Below are 19,015 nucleotides of genomic sequence, written 5' to 3' on the forward strand. Positions count from 1 at the left end.
TGCAGTGGTCATCGTTTATTACTGAGATAGTTACTGGGGACTTAATAGCACTCCATTTGAGACAATATCTTGAGCCTTGTGAATTCAAAAGAAAAGAGATGTATTTTTGGCACAAATTGATGGGGTTTCAAGATTTCTGTAATAGATACATACACAATCATATTGTTGAGTTGAAAGAAATGTGTTTCCAATAAGTAGTATTTACTGGGGTTTAACAACGATGTAATAGTTACCTGTCTATTACATGGTAGTCAAAGCTAAAGAAATGTGTTTTTAATAATCAATTGGCATTTCAAATATATAAGATAACTGCCATATGAAATCGGAACCTAGATACAATCCACATTTGAGACTTGTTTTTGAGAGTCTCATTCATGATTCTGAAGTATTAATGATTGGTTATTGTAAAAGGAATATTATTATCAAAGGGATAATAATTTGTATTCATTTCTCTTATACTTTCTCTGCTTTTCTTCTTTCATTCTCCCTTTTCCTTTTACTTCTCCTTAGCAGTTATTTTATTACACCTTCTATTTTAATTGGTTGGGATTGCATTCGGCCTGTATAAAGAAAATGATCCTTCCTCCCAACCAGAAAGAATAAAAAGTAACTGAATGAATACCTTTGGCTCTTTTAATCCATGCCAAGAGGAAGAGGTGAGACAAATCGGAGAGCCCCAGTGATAGATACACATGCACTGGCAGATTCCCTTGGGATTAACCCTGCCTGTAACTTTGCAATAAGAATTTGTGCCACTCTGCCGGGTGCAGTGGCTCATGCCAGTAATCTCGGCACTTTGGGAGGCCGAGGCAGGTGGATCACCTGAGGTCAGGAGTTTGAGATCAGCATGATCAACATGATGAAATCCCGTCTCTACTAAAAATACAAAAATTAGCCGGGCCTGGTGGTGCATGCCTGTAATCCCAGCTACTCAGGAGGCTGAGGCAGCAGAATCACTTGAATCCAGGAGGCGGAGGTTGCAGTGAGCCGAGATCGTGCCATTGTGCTCCAGACTGGGCAGCAAGAGCAAAACTCCATCTCAAAAAAAAAAACAAAAAAAGAATTTGTGCCACTTTCCCTCCTTGGGCCACCTTGAGGCCATCCCATTCTCCAACATTCCCGCAGATGTTGCCTCTTATATTCATACATTTGGCAAGTATTTGCAAGATGCCTTGTCAATGCTAAATTGCTCTACCAGATGCTGGTGCTACAAAAACAGAAGGCAGAGTACCTGCTTTCAAAGAACTCTCAGTCCAAAAGGAAAGTGGGACTAGACAAGCCATAAGGAGAATGCAGCGTGGAAAGAAGTGGGCATCATCCATGGGAGCCCGAAGAAGGCAATGACCCACACAGCTCCAGCCAGCTTCATTCTATAGCACACACAGGTAAAGTATGGGGTGAGGACCATTCAAACAGTGATCATGGTGATGACGCAACCTACTCTCCTGTATTATGTGGCTTAGAAAGCACCTCCTCCCCAGTCCTTCCCTGGCAGGAGCTCTTTCCCTCTCGCTGTCATTCTCCTGCCTGGAATGCTCCTTCCCTGATGGTCTCTGTGGCTGTGCTCTGCTCATACAGCAGATCTCGGCTCAGATCAAAAGAGTCTACCTGAGCACCCTCCCAGAAAGGGTCTTCCCAGTGCCCAGACCCCCTCATTTTTTCACATCAGACACAAAGTGCAAGCTGTAATGATCCCGTGAATGTAATGTTTTCTCAGCTGTCTCTCCCTAGAGCAATGCAGGCTCCATAAGGATACGAGCTGCTTTCAACCCGGTTGACTGCTGCAGTCCTCACAGGCAGGTAGAAGCGTATCTGGTGGTGGCAGGAACTTCATCCTCATTTGTTGAATGAAAGAATTCATGAATTCATGAATCTGCCATGTCATGCCCAGAAGGCTGGATAATATATGCCACTTTGTGTCCATCATACGATTGCTTTGCCACCTGCCCAGCCAGCACTGCCTCTACAGAAGAAACTTAGAGTGCTTCGTCTAGGAAGGATCCCTGGGACTTTGTACTGAGCATCTTGGACTGGAACCCTGGCAATGAGTGCTGACAGCCAATGTCTCCAGCCAGATGTGGCCTGATGTGGCTTCTTGGCATGGAGCTAACTGCAGCCTCCCCGGCCCCTGCCCTGAGAGTGGAGGTGGACAACTGGAGGAAGAGCAGGGCAGGAGGTATGCTCCCGTGATGCCAAAACCTCTTAGGAATGAGAGCTCATTCAGAGCATGTGCCTCAGCTCCCCGCCTCTGCCAAGTGTCAAACTTCATTAAAAGGCTTGGGGGAAGATCAGTTGCAGAGCATGGCTCGTCTGGGCCAAGGCAGGAGTTCTTTCCCCAAGCTCAAGAGGGCTTTGCTTAGCAGCTCTGCAGAGATTGGCAACTGCGGTTGAACTTGTCAGACTGTGAGCTTTCTTCAGGATTTATCCACCCCAACACGAGCACATTCTGAAAAGTAGAAATCTGTTGAGAGGTGATTCATTCCTCTGTGGGGCCTTCTAATTCTACCTCCCACCACTCCCAGCCTGTCTTTCCTCTCTTTTGGAATTCTGAGAGCCCCACGTTAGGAAGTGTTCTTTGCTGCTTAAGGTTATTGATTGTTGGAAGAAATTTATTCCAATAATAAAAATAATAACTTGAATTATTAAAATCCTTTGAAAAATGAGGAATAATGTTTCTAAAGGTACTTTTGAAATTATTGCTACACAAATGTTAGCTCACTTTGGGTTCTGAGCCTGATGAAAAATGTTAAGATAGTGGCATTTCAATATCCATGAAAAGAAATTGAGACTCAGAGAGGTTAAAAAGTTTGCCCAAAGTCACACAGCTGAAAAGCAATGGAGAAGGAACCACAAGACTTCTATTCCCTCTACCATTCCATCTCATTGTGATTCTCTTGGTCATTTCCCTCTAGATATGGCTTGGAGAGACAGAAAGTGAAAAATCCTTCATAACTTGGGAAATACTCCTTTCTTATTTAAAAAATCGAATAGCATACATATCACAGATAAACTGTGAGATTAAATATATCAGCAAATATTCACATATAAGCATGTGTCATATGTGTAAACGCAGCTTACACAATGAGGTATATGTGGTTTTCATAGGCATTTTTAATATTTCGGAATATGTCCCCAAGGATGAATGTTCTGCAAATACACACTTAAGTTTCTCTCTTTACAAAGAACCCCAATTTTGTAACTTAATATTTACAAGAAAGTGATAGCTAGTTTTACACTGTTTATACTGTTTTACACAGTATTAAAATTATTACTTGATATTTTAAGCTTTTATGAATAGCGATCTTTTTTATTAGTTTCAGTAATACACATAAAAACTACTTAATCTGAACTCTACTAATTTGAAATTTATAGCCATTCAAACATAAACTCTTACCTTTGTTTGGCTAATGGGAAAAACAGGTAGGCAAATGTAAAATGTAAACTCTAAGTGTTTGATACACTTTAAAAAATACATATTTCAATCTCTTTAGAACCAGCTGCTTATATTGTATACACATTTTATTTATTAATTAAGAAAAACCCCCAAGGGTTTCTGTGTGCCAATAATTATTGGTTTAGCTATAAATTATGGTATAGTCTTGAGAGTAATGCTAATGTTTTTTTAAACTATATTTTGAAATGTTACTGATTCAGGCTACTAGTTCAGATTAATAGCATTTAATAGCAGTGGAGTTTGAAGCCAGACAGATTTAATTTGAATTCCAGTGCTGCCACTTTTTAACTGATGTCCTTGAACAAATGACTTAATCCTGATGAATGTCGTCATCTTCTAAACTGGGACATTTCTGAGAGAGAGTAAAGGAGGTGTCAATTACTCTGGGACAAGCCTAATCAGAGGCTGGCCTGGGGAAGCCAGACACATGGTTACTCTATCAAAATGTGACTCTCTCAGTCTTTGGCTTATCTAGGTTGTTGGTAGATGGTGGATGGCATTTTGTTTCAATTTTTCTGTCACTGCTTTCAACTATAAGGAATCAAATCTCCTTATCCAAGCCCTGTGATGTCATCTTAAGTCTGTCACATTGAGTCTTGGGAATTTTTTTTTTCCGAGACAGAGTCTTGCTCTGTCGCCCATGCTGGAGTGCAGTGGCGTGATCTCGGCTCACTGCAACCTCCGCCTCCTGGGTTCAAGCGATGCTCCTGTCTCAGCCTCCCGAGTAGCTGGGATAATAGACCCCGCCATCATGCTCAGCTAAGTTTTGTATTTTTAGTAGAGATGGAGTTTCACCATGTTGGCCAGGCTGGTCTCTATCTTCTGACCTCGTGATCCGCCTGTCTCGGCCCCCCAAAGTGCTGGAATTACAGGCATGAGCCACCGTGCCCGGCCAGGAATATTCTTTTTTTTTTTTTTTTTTTTTGAGAGGGAGTCTCGCTCTGTCGCCCAGGCTGGAGTGCAGTGGCGCGATCTCGGCTCATTGCAAGCTCCGCCTCCCTGGTTCATGCCATTCTCCTGCCTCAGCCTCCCAAGTAGCTGGGACTACAGGCGCCCGCCACCACGCCTGACTAATTTTTTTGTATTTTTAGTAGAGACAGGGTTTCACCATGTTAGCCAGGGTGTCCTCTATCTCCTGACCTCGTGATCCGCCCGCCTCCGCCTCCCAAAGTGCTGGGATTACAGGCGTGAGCCACCGCACCCGCCGGCCAGGAATATTCTTATTGAGATTATTATTAAGTCACACTTTTAGGTGTAGAAAAGTCCTGTAGTCGAGTTGAAAACTTTATATGTTAATTCAAAACTTTCCTTCTCCCCCATATGAGACTCCACCTGTGGTCCTGGCATAGGGAGAAGTGTATTCTCTTTTTACATTTCTCTTTGCCCTTTTAATCCTCCTTCGTCTTCTCAGTGTACTACTTCCAGCTCCCCTAGGGGGAAGGGAGTTGATAAGGAGATTGTGGGAAAGGGCCTGTGCCATCTGCTGCAGGCTTCCTCAGGCAGTGCACCTACTGTGCGCCATACACGGTATCAAAAATCTGTGCCAGTGGTGGCTTTGATTTGCATCCCTTTGGCTAACGGAGATACTGAGTATTTTTACACTTGTATTCTCCTCTGTAGATTACCTTTTTATGTTTTTGGTTGACTTACCTTTCTTGAATTTTTGTAATGGTGTTTTTTTCACTCTCTTAACATAAAAAGGAAATAAACAACTATCTCTATATCTAGAAATGGTAACTATTAACCTTTTAAAACATTTTCTCTATCTTTTTAAAAACAATTTTATTTTTTAGAGCAGTTTTAGGTTCACAGCAAAATTGAACAGAAGGTACAGAGATTTCCCCAATACCTCCTGCCCCCACATGCACAGCCTCCCCTACTATCAACATCCTCCACCAGGGTGGTACATTTGTTACAGTCGTTGGACCGCCATTGACACACCATTTTTACCCAGAGTCCATAGTTTACCTTAGGGCTGACTCTTGGTGTACATTTTGTGGATTTGGACAAATGTATAATGGCAACTATTTACCATTATAGTATCATACATATTAGTCTCATTGCCCTAAAAATCCTCCGTACTGCACCTATTCATCCCTCAATATAAATGGAGTAATTGACAGTGAGCCCATAGAGTTTTGCATCTGTCTGTTTTTAATAGAAGAAATAAAACACTGAAGATAAAATTGAGGCATAATTTAAAACCATAAAACCATAGGAACCATGAACTCTAGTATATTATTAATGTCCATGTTTTAAGTTTATATAAATGGTAAAATACTCTACCCATATTCTGTCATTTACATCCTTAATCAACAATGTGCTTTTTAGCCAGGAGTAGGGGCTCAAGCCTGTAATCCCAGCACTTTGGGAGGTTGAGGCAGGCAGATCACCTGAAGTCAAGGGTTTGAGACCAGGCTGGGCAACAGGGTGAAACCCTGTCTCTAGTAAAAATACAAAAGTTAGCCAGGCGTGGTGGCACGTGCCTGTAATCAATCCCAGCTACTCGGGAGGCTGAGGTACAAGAATTGTTTGAACTCCAGAGGCAAAGATTGCAGTGAGATGAGATCGCACCACTGCACTCCAGTCTGGGCGATAAAGTGAGACTTCCTCTCAAAAAACAAAAACACAATTGTGCTTTTTAGATCTTTCCATTTTGTACATAAATATATATTATCTCCACTATAAATATATATTTATAAATAATACTTATTCTTTCCACTATGAAACTATATTTATCTATAAATGTATAAGTAAGAATATATTTTCTGTATTATATAATTATACTTGTATTTATATATTATATAATTATATATAAGATTATATTTATAACAATATATTATATATTTATAATATGTAAGAATATATTAATATATCAATAATATAAGTAGATATAAAAGTAAATATTTATATTGTATTTATGTAAGTATATAAGTACATTTGTAAATATATAAGCATATTTAAATATATATTATATATAACAAATATATAAGAAGATATATTCTTTTAAAAAGTTTCTTTTAATTGCAGTATAGTATTCCAGATGTGTATATGATTATTTAAAGCCTTATAGCTGCCCTATAAGATTCTATCACGTTTCTAAGGTTTTACTATTACAAGCAATGCTTCAGTAAACAATCCTTGCACTTATTTTCCTGTGTTTGTGTGCAAATATTTACTGAGGATAGTTACTTGACGTGTACTCTCTGATAAGATATGTGCATTTTAATTTTGTGTGCTTCTGACAAAATTTCCCCACTCCTGCTAGCAAAGTATGGTGCACCCCATGACTCCATATTCTTATTAGTAAGTGACAATAGTACCAAACATTTTCATTTTTATGAATCTGATGAATGAGATTGTTAAACTAAATCTGACCTGCGGATGCTTCTGGACCTGGAGTCCTTATGTAGTAAACTGCAACCTAACTTGTTACACAAACAAGCTGAAAGCCTAGCCTACGAGTAGTCTCAGCCAATCACAGCAGCTGAGTTTTCCCAATCACAGACTGCAAACTGATCAGATCGTGTTCAAGTAAGGCAAACCCGGAGCTGTTACCAATCAAGCTTTTTTTACCTCACTGGTGTTTTCTTTCCGTAAATTTACCTCCTTGCGTGCATCCACCCATAATAAGCATAAAATCACTATAAAAATCATAAATGAAAAGGCTGATATACAATTGCACAAAAATTAACATTTAACGCCTTCACACGTTTCGGAAGTGCTTCCTGTAGTTCTGGTTCTGAGGATGTCCAGTTAGAGAATTGCTCTTTGCTCAATTAAACTGTGTTAAATTTAACTTGTGCAAAGTTTTTATTCTAACAAAATACAAAAGTGTTTTAATTCGTAATTGATTTATTATGCCTCACTGTCCTTTATTTCATTAATATTGCGTGTGACCAATGTTTAGCATGCTTAATATTCATTTCTGTTTCTTCATTTTTTGCCCACTTTTCCTTCAGGATAATAGTTTTTACTGAGCTTTTAATGGATCTATACTTACTCAGCATATTAGCCTTCATTTTGTTCCATCGTGTATTTTACTTTTAAGTATCCTTATGGTGTTTTGGACACTTAGAAATGCTAAGTTTTTGTGTAGTTATATACGTGCCTTTTTCTTTATGATTTCTATAGTGCTTTTATACTAATTATGATTGGATACATGAATGAATCTGTTTTCAGATAAGGATAGAATTTTGTTTAAAAAATCCACACTGATGAGGGCGGTGGCTCATGCCTGTAATCCCAGCACTTTGAGAGGCCTAGACAAGTGGACCTCCTGAGCCCAGGAGTTTGAGACCAGCCTGGGCAACATAGTGAGACCCCCATCTCTACAAAAAGTACTAATAGGTGGGCATGGTGGTGTGCACCTGTAATTCTAGCTGCTCAGGAGACTGAGGTAGGAGGATCAATTGAACCTAAGATATTGAGGCTGCGGTGAGCCATGACTGTGCCATTGCACTCCAGCCTGGGTGACAGAGTGAGACCCTGTCTCAAAAAAAAAAAATCCACACTATATAAGTCATATTCTTAAACAGAATAGGAAGTAAAATTATATGAAAAAGTTAATGGAAATAAGTAAAAATATTACCTGAATTTTTAACAACATATGTAATTTGAGTTAAGGCCCCAGATAATGAACATAGATAGCTACTTACCTAGTTTATCCTTTTCAGGTACCAGGATAGTCCCAGTTCAGTGAACCCTAAAACAATGTTTATTGCAATGATTATTTCTGGACATCATGTCACAAACAATAAATTTTTTTTAAGAACTGTTTTGTGACATTGTACATTTGAGTAACATATTCCTTTTAGTGTATAGATAACCAGCAACATAAGATTATTCCAGGAATAATTAGACACAACTACGACATAAAAACAAAATTATCATGTGGCCAAACATGAGCATAATCAGCTTCTTTTAATAAGTGACATTTGAAGTTATCACAGTGAACCTTCCTGATATTACACACAGCCATTATCTGACTGACACTTCCTGTGTGTAAATTCTACTCCATCTGTAATTGTCAGAATTGATTATTTAAGACTCGGCCGGATGCTATACTTTTCTGGACCTGGCATGTGTCTGAGTCACTGCCTCCCAGGATACTATCCTTCATTTGACGTGCACTAGTGTTCTGTGCCCTTCCAGGACAGGATACCTGGAAAGAAACCCAAGATTCATAGAACAGATTTGTATGGTGTGGTACCGACATGGAGAAAACACAAATTGTCTACTGGACCATAATAGATAAAAGTTAGAAGTAAACTATTGGTTTCCAGTGACTGGCATAAAAAAATAGGGCAACAGAAATTCTCATCCACAGTTACTAAATATTAAAATAGCTCCAAACCCAAGTCACTAAAGCTACCCACATGAAAGACACTTTGTGATTCCATGGTTGAAAACAAGCTCTAAACCCAATGGGAATCTTTACAGCAAAGCTGGCCTGTCATTAATCAGCTAAGGGATATGGGTTCAAATGTTTTCTGCTGTATCTTTATATGGGACAGTCTTATTATCTTATTTCAACCGATTCTTTGAGTAAAGATTATTTTCTCAATTTTCCCTGTGGCTGTTGAAATAATGTCGTCACTTTTGCTTCATGGAGAATTCTTTTTTGTATCTGGTGGCAGAAGCTCTCCTATTTCCAGATGTAGAAAGGACAGAGCACTTTTGAAACACATACAGTGTCCTGTGCTCAGCGTTGGCTGTGTTTTTAATGCAATTTGTTATTTAATCCTCACAACAGCTCTGCAAGCTTGGGGTTGTGGTTCACAATTTTTACTGATTGGGCGACTGAGATGCAGAAAGGCCACAGTTACTCAGTTTGTATGTGAGCAGTCCAAGGTTCAAACCCATGTCTGTTGGACAGTAAACTACTTTTCTTTTTACTGTTACACTCTTATTGTACCTGTTTGGTACTCTCATTAAAAAATATGTATAGCTGAGTGATCTCGGCCAAGCCACATTATCTTTCTGGCATACTTTATAGTGCATAAAATAAGAGGAGTGAATGAAATAAGTATAAGCGTTTAACCTCATTTTTCTTTCAAATATTTGTTCAGTATATATGATGTACTGAGGATCAAAATACTAAATAATAAATTGGCATTTTACTAGCAACAAAATTTATAAAAACATCCAAGAGTTAACTTAGTAAGAAGTGCTAATGAAAGCACTACCAAATTGACACAATTAACATTCATAAAATATACCATCCCGAAATAGCAGAATACACATTTCTCTCTAGCTCACATGGAACAGTCACTAAAATAGACTGAATTCCAGGACATAAAACACACTTTTATAAATTTAAAATATAGAAATCATACAACATATGTTCTTACACCACAATGGACTTGAACTAGAAATTATTAACAGAAAGAAAAGAACATTCTCAGATTTTTGGAGATTTGACAACATATTTCTAAGTAATATGTGGATCAAAAAAGAAGTCTCAATATACACTTAGAAAATATTTTGAACTAGGGTCAGGTGCGGTGGCTCACGCCTGTAATCCCAGCACTTGGGAGGTCGAGGCCAGGATCACCTGAGGTCAGCAGTTCAAGACTAGCCTGACCAACATGGCGAAACCCCGTCTCTACTAAAAATACAAAAATTACCTGGGCATGGTGGAGCCTGCCTGTAATCCCAGCTACTCAGGAGGCCGAGGCAATAGAATCACTTGAACCCGGGAGGCAGAGGTTGCAGTGAGCAGAGATTGGGCCATTGCACTCCAGCGTGGGGGACAGGGCGAGACTCTGTCTCAAAAAAAAAAAAAAAAAAAAAAAAAGCAAAAAAGAAACTATTTTGAACTAAACAAAAATGGAAATACAACTTACCAAAACTTGTGGCATGCGGTAAAAATGGTGCTTAGCGGGAAATGTATAGTATTAAATGCATATGTCAGAAAAAGAAGATCCAAGTCCAATCTCATACCTTCTGAATCTAGAGAAAGAAGAGTAATTTAAGCCTAAAATGAACACGAAGAAAGAAAAAGTATTTAAGTGAGGGTAGGAAGTGGTGAGAGAGTTGAGAGATTGCCCATGGGTACGATGTTCACTCTTTGGATGATGGGCACACTAGAAGCCCAATCTTCACCAGCACGCAATATACCCACGTAACAAACATGCACAGGTACCCCCTGAATCTAAAATAAAATAAAATTTAAAATTTAGATTAAAAAATCAACAAAATTTAAAACAAAAGCTCAATAGAGAAAACCAGTGAAACCAAAAGCTGGTTCTTTGAAAAGATTCATAAAATTCATAGACTTCTAGCCAGGTGTATCAAGGTTAAAAGAGGCAACTAAAGAGGGGTAACCATTACGGATCTCATCGGCAAAAGGAATTAAATATTCTACCAGATTTAAGGAATGGCTTGACCTTTTAAGAGAAGAAAGAGCTGATGCTGCTAACAAAATGATCATTTTATTAACAGATGGATGGTGTTGGATGGGAGGATGAAATCATTTTTAGAAGAATGTGTCACGTCTCAGGAAGAGCCAGTAGATACTGTGGGACCATCAGCAAATGGACACATGAGAAATGAAGGAGCTGGACATGCCAAGGTCAGAATTGGTGGAAACAATCCAACCACAGGGCTATGCCACTCCCCTAAAAGAGAAATGGTCAGTAGTACAAATGTCAATTCCAAAATGAAAGTAGCTGGTGCTTCGCAGCGGCTTGGAAGTAGGTTTTCCTGAGCACCTTCCAGTCCCCTCAAATAAACAAGGAATGTGTGTAAAAATAATGAACTTGCCATTCGTGTGCAGTTTTAAGGAAGGCTCCTAGACAAATCCTTCCCCCCATACAAAAGGCTGACCCTAGGACCCTCCTACGTAGAAATTCTGAAGTGGTCATTGCAGCCAGTGAAATCAGGAATAACAAGGAACTTATTTCAGTATCCAAAGGAGTTCCCTATGAGGATGGGTCACAGCTGCAGGAACGTCTCAAAAATCACAGCCACCCACATAGATGACACAGCACCTCATCATGGTTCCAGCTGAGCGGATGAATAATCACCTCCCTAGGGATAAGGCATACAGACCAGACCCCCAGCAGGAGTTCTCAGTGTTAGGGAGCTTGCTAGTGCTCTGTCACACTCACGGCAAGGCTGCTTGGGGGAACAGGGAGAACAGAAAAGGAAGACAGAAAATCTCAGTGGCATGGACAGGGCGAACAAGAATACCAATTCCTGCCACAAACAAAAAGTGTACTTCAGATCCTAACTTCAAGTAATTTAATTATTATTATATTGTTCATTTTAAAGCTAAGAAAACAGGTCAGAGCAATCACTTAGTATAGCTAATAAAGTCATGTAACAATTAAGTGACAGAGCTGATTAAGATTCTCTGAACTGAAATAAGATTTTCTGTCTCTATCACCATATGGACTTCCTACTATTAATTCATGGTGTCTGATCAACATTGTCAGCTGTTGCCTTCCCCAGCACCAAGTTTTTGCAGCCGTCAAGCTGAAATTCACACTATTTTCTAGTCATTCATGAGCAGGTGCATATTAACTTCTCTGGAGTTGTTTATGCCTAAAATGAGAGTAGAATTAATAATATCAACATTAGCAGTTGGGAATATGATACACTATTAATTAACCTAATTGTAAGTGAATCTAAAATCTAAAAGATTTTATAATCTAAAACCTTAAAATCTAAAAGGTTTACACATATATTTGGTTAAAGGATTCTGTAAAGATGCATAACTTGGGGGCATAAGAGATATATGTAATCATAAGAGCTGTAAATACAAATAAACTCTTCATAGGAGTAAGTTTAGATTTTGTAGAAAATAAAGAAGCTAGGAAGCCATTTACTGTTAGGAGGTGGAAAAACCTAGGTTATCTATTGTCATGAAATCCAGGGGCAACAAGTTCTCAAAAAAGCATGGAAACTCAGTATTGTTAAAAGCCCAGTACATTCAATGAAAGCAAAGTAACTGGAAGTGGCTAGAAGGAAATCTTTGACGATCTTGATGAGAGAATAATCAAGGAAGTTATTGGAATGAACCCCAGACTGCATGGAATCAAAATTGGCTTGAGGTAAGTGTAGCAGATGGCATAAATGACACACAACTTGGGGCAGGGACCACACACCATTTGCTTAAGTATCTGGGCAATGAAAGGGAGAAACAGCAGTAGTAAAGGGAAGTAATAGTTTTCTTAATAGCTGATGAGATCTGTGCAGTAAGAGTAGAGATGTAAAAAACAGATGGACTTAGTGTTGGAAGCAAAACTCCAAGAAGCTGAGAATGAATGGGATCATGAGCATGACTAGGGGTGTGACACAGTCACCTAGAGACAGAGCTATGCTTTGATGAAGAATGAGATGGATAAAGTTACAGAGATGGTTTCTCTTACTAGAAAAAACTTCAAGTTAGATTTCCTGTTGGGCAAATATTTCAGGAGTAAGCTCTATGCCAGGGATCTCAAACTCAAATACCTTCTGGAACCAGGAAGGTGATAGCATGAGTGAACTGATGTGACAGGCAATTACTAAAGAACCTTAACTTTCCTCCAAGTGAGGTGCTCTCTCCCATTTTTCTTAAAGCACGCAAGCAACCTTCTTAGCTTATCTTTTACTTTCTGAATTTTGATAGAGACATGGTCAGGGAGGAGGGTTTTCCTTTATTGAGAAATCCAACGTTCCATGTGTGCTTATAAATACAACTGCCACTTGGTCTCAGAGTCAAAGACACAATACTGAGTCCAAATGGAGTTAGAATGTGTGTCCTAAAGAGAAAGGTCACTAACCAGTTCCTACTCAATTTAATCACGTGAGTGTGTAGGCTAGGAACTGTCAGATATTTTAAGAGAAGCCAGAACTCTACCTGTTTATGTGAAATATTCTCATTTTCAATGTTGGCTCAATTGAAAAGCAAAACAAGGCTAGGTAGGCCATCTGGGCAGCAGACCTGCCCACGCATCAATCTCCATCCTCTGTTGCAGACATTCAATTAAACCTGTCACAGACCAGGAAAACCACTTTTGATACCTGAAAGTCAAAGTTACTTGTGGTTTTCTTTGGTTGCACTGATTAAAGGAAAGAGGAAAAAAAAATCCTTTAATGCCAAGTGAGCAATTTGGGATTAACGGTTTACCTGGACAATTGCTAATTGGGAAAACAGAGCAAGACACTTAAGCTAAACAGGTTCTGTAACAGTTGAGCAGTTGTTTGTTTGACTTGGATAAAAGGAGGCATTGTTATGGTTGAGGTAGGTTTTGCTTTACCTGCTATGGCAGAACTACATGATGTGGTCATCCAACAATGAGGTCTTGGTAAAATAAATTATGGTGAAATGCTATGCAGACATTAAAAAACAATGATTTAGAAAAAGATTTATTTATCTTGGGAATTTCTCATTCTATATTGGTTATTGTTCCAGACAATGTTACCAAAATTTTAAGTTTTAAAACAGATTAAAATATTATACGCAGCATGATGCCATGATTTCATACGTTATTATCATTATTTTTAAAAATTTTCTAAAATAAGAACTTCTTTTTCCTAGTAGTCTCTTGTTTAGGCTCTGGGATAACGGGAACTGATGCTGCAGAAAGATGTGACTCAGGATTGTGGAACTTTAGGAAACTTGGGGGTTATTTTATGATATCATTCATGCCAAGGGAGCCAAGAAATATCCACATCTATGCTCATTTCAGACTATTTCACAAAGATGCTCCCAAATTCCACATTATAATACCTTTTCAATTTCCTCCCTTCAATTCTGTCTCCCTCCGTTTTTGGTGGAGACTGTTGTTTGTCTTCAAATATCCATTGCTTCCATGATAGAATTTTAACTGGGCACTGGGATGCTCAAAAAAAAGGCAACATTTTATCTTCCTTGGCAACTAGAAGTAACATGTGACTTTCTTTTTTTCTTTGCCAGTGTGGTAAAAGAAGAAGGCAACTTTCGGAAACTGTCCTATAGGGCTGTTGTCCCATGACCTGTGCCCTCTTCCTCTTTATAGTCTCTTTCTGCCTCTTCCGGCCTATGTCTGGATGCTGCCATCTTGAATTCCATGGATGACAGCTATGCTGTAGGGATGACAAGGTTTCATCTGGAAGAAGACATCTGAGAATATTTTGAAGCAGAGCTTCCAACCTCTCTGAGCTATATCCTCAGAGCCTAATTTCTTCCTAAGAAATATGCCTCCCTTACTTACTCTAGAAATAGACATATCTGATGTGTGTGCTGGGATGAGGCCCCTTATGAACCACAATCCTGCCTTTACTATTTTAGACAACCAATGACTAGATCCCTTGATACCCCCATTTAAATTTCTAAAATACTAAGTTGATATATTGGGTAAGTAAGAACATCTACTCTCTAATTTTTTTTTGTCAGAACTTTGCTCATGGTTTTAAGAACCAAAATTAATAATGCAACTAAAAATCTGTCAAGAGTCCTCCTATAACCCTATTTACCTTTATTAATTTTTTTTGCTTTTCTTATGACTTTATTCCACAAAGTAAACATTAAGATTTTCATATTAAGTGTCCTCGAAAACTATGTGAAATTTTTAATGGCATTTTATTAAAGTTATACTAAAATGAAGAGAATCTATCACTTTTCTATAGTAAACCTTTTCTCCCAATAAAATATTTTCATGTATTTATTCAAATTTTTCCTGTGCATAGCTATGGCTGTCTATTTTCAGTTTGTCCAGCTTTTTCTTGTTATAAAAATGGACATGATGGCTTCTAAGCTCTTTCCCTGTCAGGACTAAAACTGGAATATTTAAGTCATTTTGAATCACTTCTTTGTATCTCATGACCACTCCAATTTATGGCCTTATTAGTGTTTTTCCATAAATTTCTAGGAGCTTCCTAATTGGCCATTCTGCCACAAGGCTCTTACATTTCCTGACATACAAAACCACACTTCCATTATGCCATTCCTCTGCTCATCAGCTATCAATGACCAGTAGTTGCCTACTTACAAAAATAAAACTTTTTTATTCCGATATTTAAGGCAGCTTATAGTTGCTTTGGTTTGAATGTGTCCTCCAAATTTTATGTATTAGAAACTGAATCCCCAAATTCATATGTAGATTGGAGGTAGGGCCAATGGAAAGTAATTAGAATTAGACAAGGTCTTCAGGGTGGTACTCCCATGATGGGACTGATGGATTTATAAGAAGAAGAGAGACCTGAGCTGACAAGCATGCTCCTGTCTTCTTGCCATGTGATGCCTTCTGCCATGTTTTGACACAGCAAGAAGGTCCTCACAAGATGCTGGCCTTCCAAGTAAGACACTTGGACTTCTAAGCTTCCAGAACTGTAAGAAATGCATTTCTTTTCCTTATAAATTACCCAGTGTGTGTTATTCTGTTATAGCATTGTAAAACGGACTAAGACAGCAGTCTTTCCTCATAATTTGCCTTTGGCTACTTTCCAAGGAGAAGCTCATGATCCAGGTCAGGAATGCTGTGTCATTGCCCCTCCAATGTTAGCTATGTTCATGTTGACTGGAATACTCAATACATTTTGTCCAAAAATTCCTACTTTTGTTTTAAGTATTGTCCAGTTCCATATCCACGAAGCATGTACCTACTATTCTTTGTGCCATATGTTTTTACATGGATGAAAATTATAATATTCCTGGAAGAAACCCCAGAATTCTTTGGATTCCTGAGACAGGTGAAGGGGCTTTCTGAAGGACACATAGCTAGTTGAAGTCAGAACTAGGCTTACAACTCACTTCCCTTTTTCTTTCATCAATTTTGGGTCTCCTAAAGTAGTGATTTGCAAACTCATTGGCATGCAATGAGTTTAAAGAAAGAGAAAAAAAATATTCCTGGAGCCCATCTCCTGAGATTCGGACTTAGTAAATGAGAGTTGGTGCTCAAGATTTTAAATTTTGAGCAAAGAACTCTGATGCTGGTAATTGAAGAATTCACTCACTGTCAAACACTGTCATAGAGGACATTTACAGAACATAGAATGGTGATTGGCCTTCAAGGAATATCTGGCCAACTGGACTGGTAAAAGCATAGTAAAGAAAGTGACTTCCACCTGACTGTATTAAGTTTGTCCAGAAATGGCTGGGCACGATGGCTCACGCCTGCAATCCCAGCACTTTGAGAGGCTGAGGTGGGTGGATCACGAGGTCAGGAGTTTGAGACCAGCCTGGCCAAGATGGTGAACCCCGTCTCTTCTAAAAATACAAAAATTAGCCAGGTGTGGTGGCGGTGCCTGTAATCCCAGCTACTCGGGAGTCTGAGGCAGAAGAATCACTTGAACCTGGGAGACGAAGGTTGCAGTGAGCTGAGATCGCACCACTGCACTCTAGCCTGGTTGACAGAGCAAGACTCTGTCTCAAAAAAGTTTGTCCAGAAAATAAAAAGGCCTTCTCTTGAACTTTTGGGCTTCCAACTACAAATAAAAATCTTGTTGGCTTATTTAAACATGTATGCCATTAGTTATCAGCAAAATTGGGGAATGTCTTAATACAATTCAATTTTGACACTTTAAATACATGTGTTCACTATTAAACATAAGGAAAACTAACCTCTACCCTCACCCTTCATTTAAGTAAAGGCGAAATATATAATCATTGAGAAATTTGAGGAAATACTGAAAAAATATTAAATAAGAGCTACTATTACAATCACTGTGGAGAACATTGTGGAGATTCCTTAAAGAACTAAAAATAGATCTACCATTTGATCCAGCAATCCCACTACTGGGTATCTACCCAGAGAAAAAGAAGTCATTATACGAAAAAGATACTTGCACTTGCATGCTTATAGCAGCACAATTCGCAGTTGAAAAAATATGGAACCAGCCCGAATGGCCTTCAATCAATGATTGGATAAAGAAAATGTGATATATATATATATATATATAGTGATATATATATATATATAGTGATATATATATAGTGATATATATATATATAGTGATATATATAGTGATATATATATAGTGATATATATATAGTGATATATCTATATATAGTGATATATCTATATTTATACTGATATATCTATATTTATGGTGATATATCTATATGTATAGTGATATATCTATATATAGTGATATATCTATATGTAGTGATATATCTATCTATATATAGTGATATATCTATATGTAGTGATATATCTATATATAGTGATATATCTATATATAGTGACATATATAGTGATATATCTATATATAGTGATATATCTATATATAGTGATATATATAGTGATATATCTATTGTGATATATATAATGTGATATATATATATATATATATATATATATATTCCATGGTGCGTGTGTGTATATATATATCTGGATAACTGGACTGGTAGAAGCATAGTAAAGAAAGTGACCTTCACCTGACTCTATTAAGTTTGTCCAGAAATGGCTGGGCACGGTCATGGAATGCTACCCAGCCATAACAAGGAATGAAATAATGACATTCAAAGCAACATAGAAACCAGTTGACAATAGGGCCTATGGTAAAATAATGCAGATGTAATGAGGCCAGCCATGGGGAGCTGCTGCAAGAAGGAAAGGAGGGAGCCCATTGTGAAAGACCATCAGAAGGTGCAGAGGGTGAGACAGGTAGACAGAGAGGAGAGGGAAAAAGAGAGAGAACACAGCAACGTGGATGGAATTGGAGACCATTATTCTAAATGAAGTAACTCTGGAATGGAAAACCAAGCACCGTATGTTCTCACTTATAAGTGGGAGCTAAGCTATGAGGACATAAAAGTATAAAAATGATACAATGGACTTCGGGGACTCAGAAGAAAGGGTGGGAGGGAGGTGAGGGAAAAAGACTACACATTGGGTACAGTGTACACTGCTTGGGTAAATGATCAGTAAAGAACTTATTCATGTAACCAAACACCACCTGTTCCCCAAAACCTATTGAAATTGTGTATATATATATATATAAATTATCTACTATTTATTAAACTTGGTCTGTGAACATGCATGTTGGCACCTTACATGGATTATTCCATTTAATTCTTACAACTACTCTAAGCTGAAGGAAGTGAGGCTTAGAGAGGTTAAGTCACACCCAAAACACACAGCAGGTAAACAATAGCGCCAGGATTTAAACACGCAGGTCAAATTCTGTAGCCTGTGGCCTTAAACACCAGACTCCCTCTTATGGAAATCCTATCATTTCTAGCCCTGTTGATCACAGGAAAACCTTCTTAGCATTTCTTGTACTTCTTCCTAGCCCTTCTTAAGAAATATGAATATAATTCTGAAAAGTCTGGGCTTTGGAGACAAAGTAAGCTTGATTCAATTTCTGACTTTGACATTAACCTTGATTTAACCTTTGACAGTAACTTTGATTTAATATTTCTGAGCCTTAGTTCTACCAGCTGTAAAATAGTGAGAATAATATTTACCTTGTGACTGAAAGCAATTTAATGAGATAATGGTCATGAATGACTTAGCACTGTGCTTAGCTGATTATAAGGACTCAATAAATGCTATTGTGATTAGGTATATAATTCAAATTTTATATATTTAAAAATTGAAGTTATACAGAAAGTACAGGTTTATATACTATGTGTTCTGCTACATTTAT

The 19,015-nt window shown here is 38.1% G+C and overlaps 1 long non-coding RNA gene across 2 annotated transcripts in view, besides 1 other annotated feature; it reads right to left on the minus strand.

Moving 5' to 3' along the window:
• Positions 1-19,015, minus strand: part of LOC105371543 (uncharacterized) — a 35,728-nt gene continuing 16,713 nt past the window's right edge. For both annotated transcript variants that reach the window (XR_934238.3, XR_934236.3), the window contains exons 3-5: positions 10,303-10,408; positions 8,113-8,159; positions 1-2,446 (exon numbers count right to left, since the gene is read on the minus strand). This is a non-coding gene — a long non-coding RNA (uncharacterized LOC105371543). The remainder of the gene's footprint in view (positions 2,447-8,112; positions 8,160-10,302; positions 10,409-19,015) is intronic.
• Positions 11,254-11,755: an enhancer, noted in NCBI's record as "NANOG hESC enhancer chr17:13266032-13266533 (GRCh37/hg19 assembly coordinates)". NCBI's record gives its function as "activates a minimal SCP1, AML or CMV promoter by ChIP-STARR-seq in naive H9 embryonic stem cells {active_cell/tissue: H9 hESC(naive)}" and the evidence as "EXISTENCE:reporter gene assay evidence [ECO:0000049][PMID:30033119]".

Source organism: Homo sapiens, chromosome 17 (genome assembly GCF_000001405.40).
Source record: "Homo sapiens chromosome 17, GRCh38.p14 Primary Assembly".
In the NCBI taxonomy this organism is placed as follows: domain Eukaryota; kingdom Metazoa; phylum Chordata; class Mammalia; order Primates; family Hominidae; genus Homo; species Homo sapiens.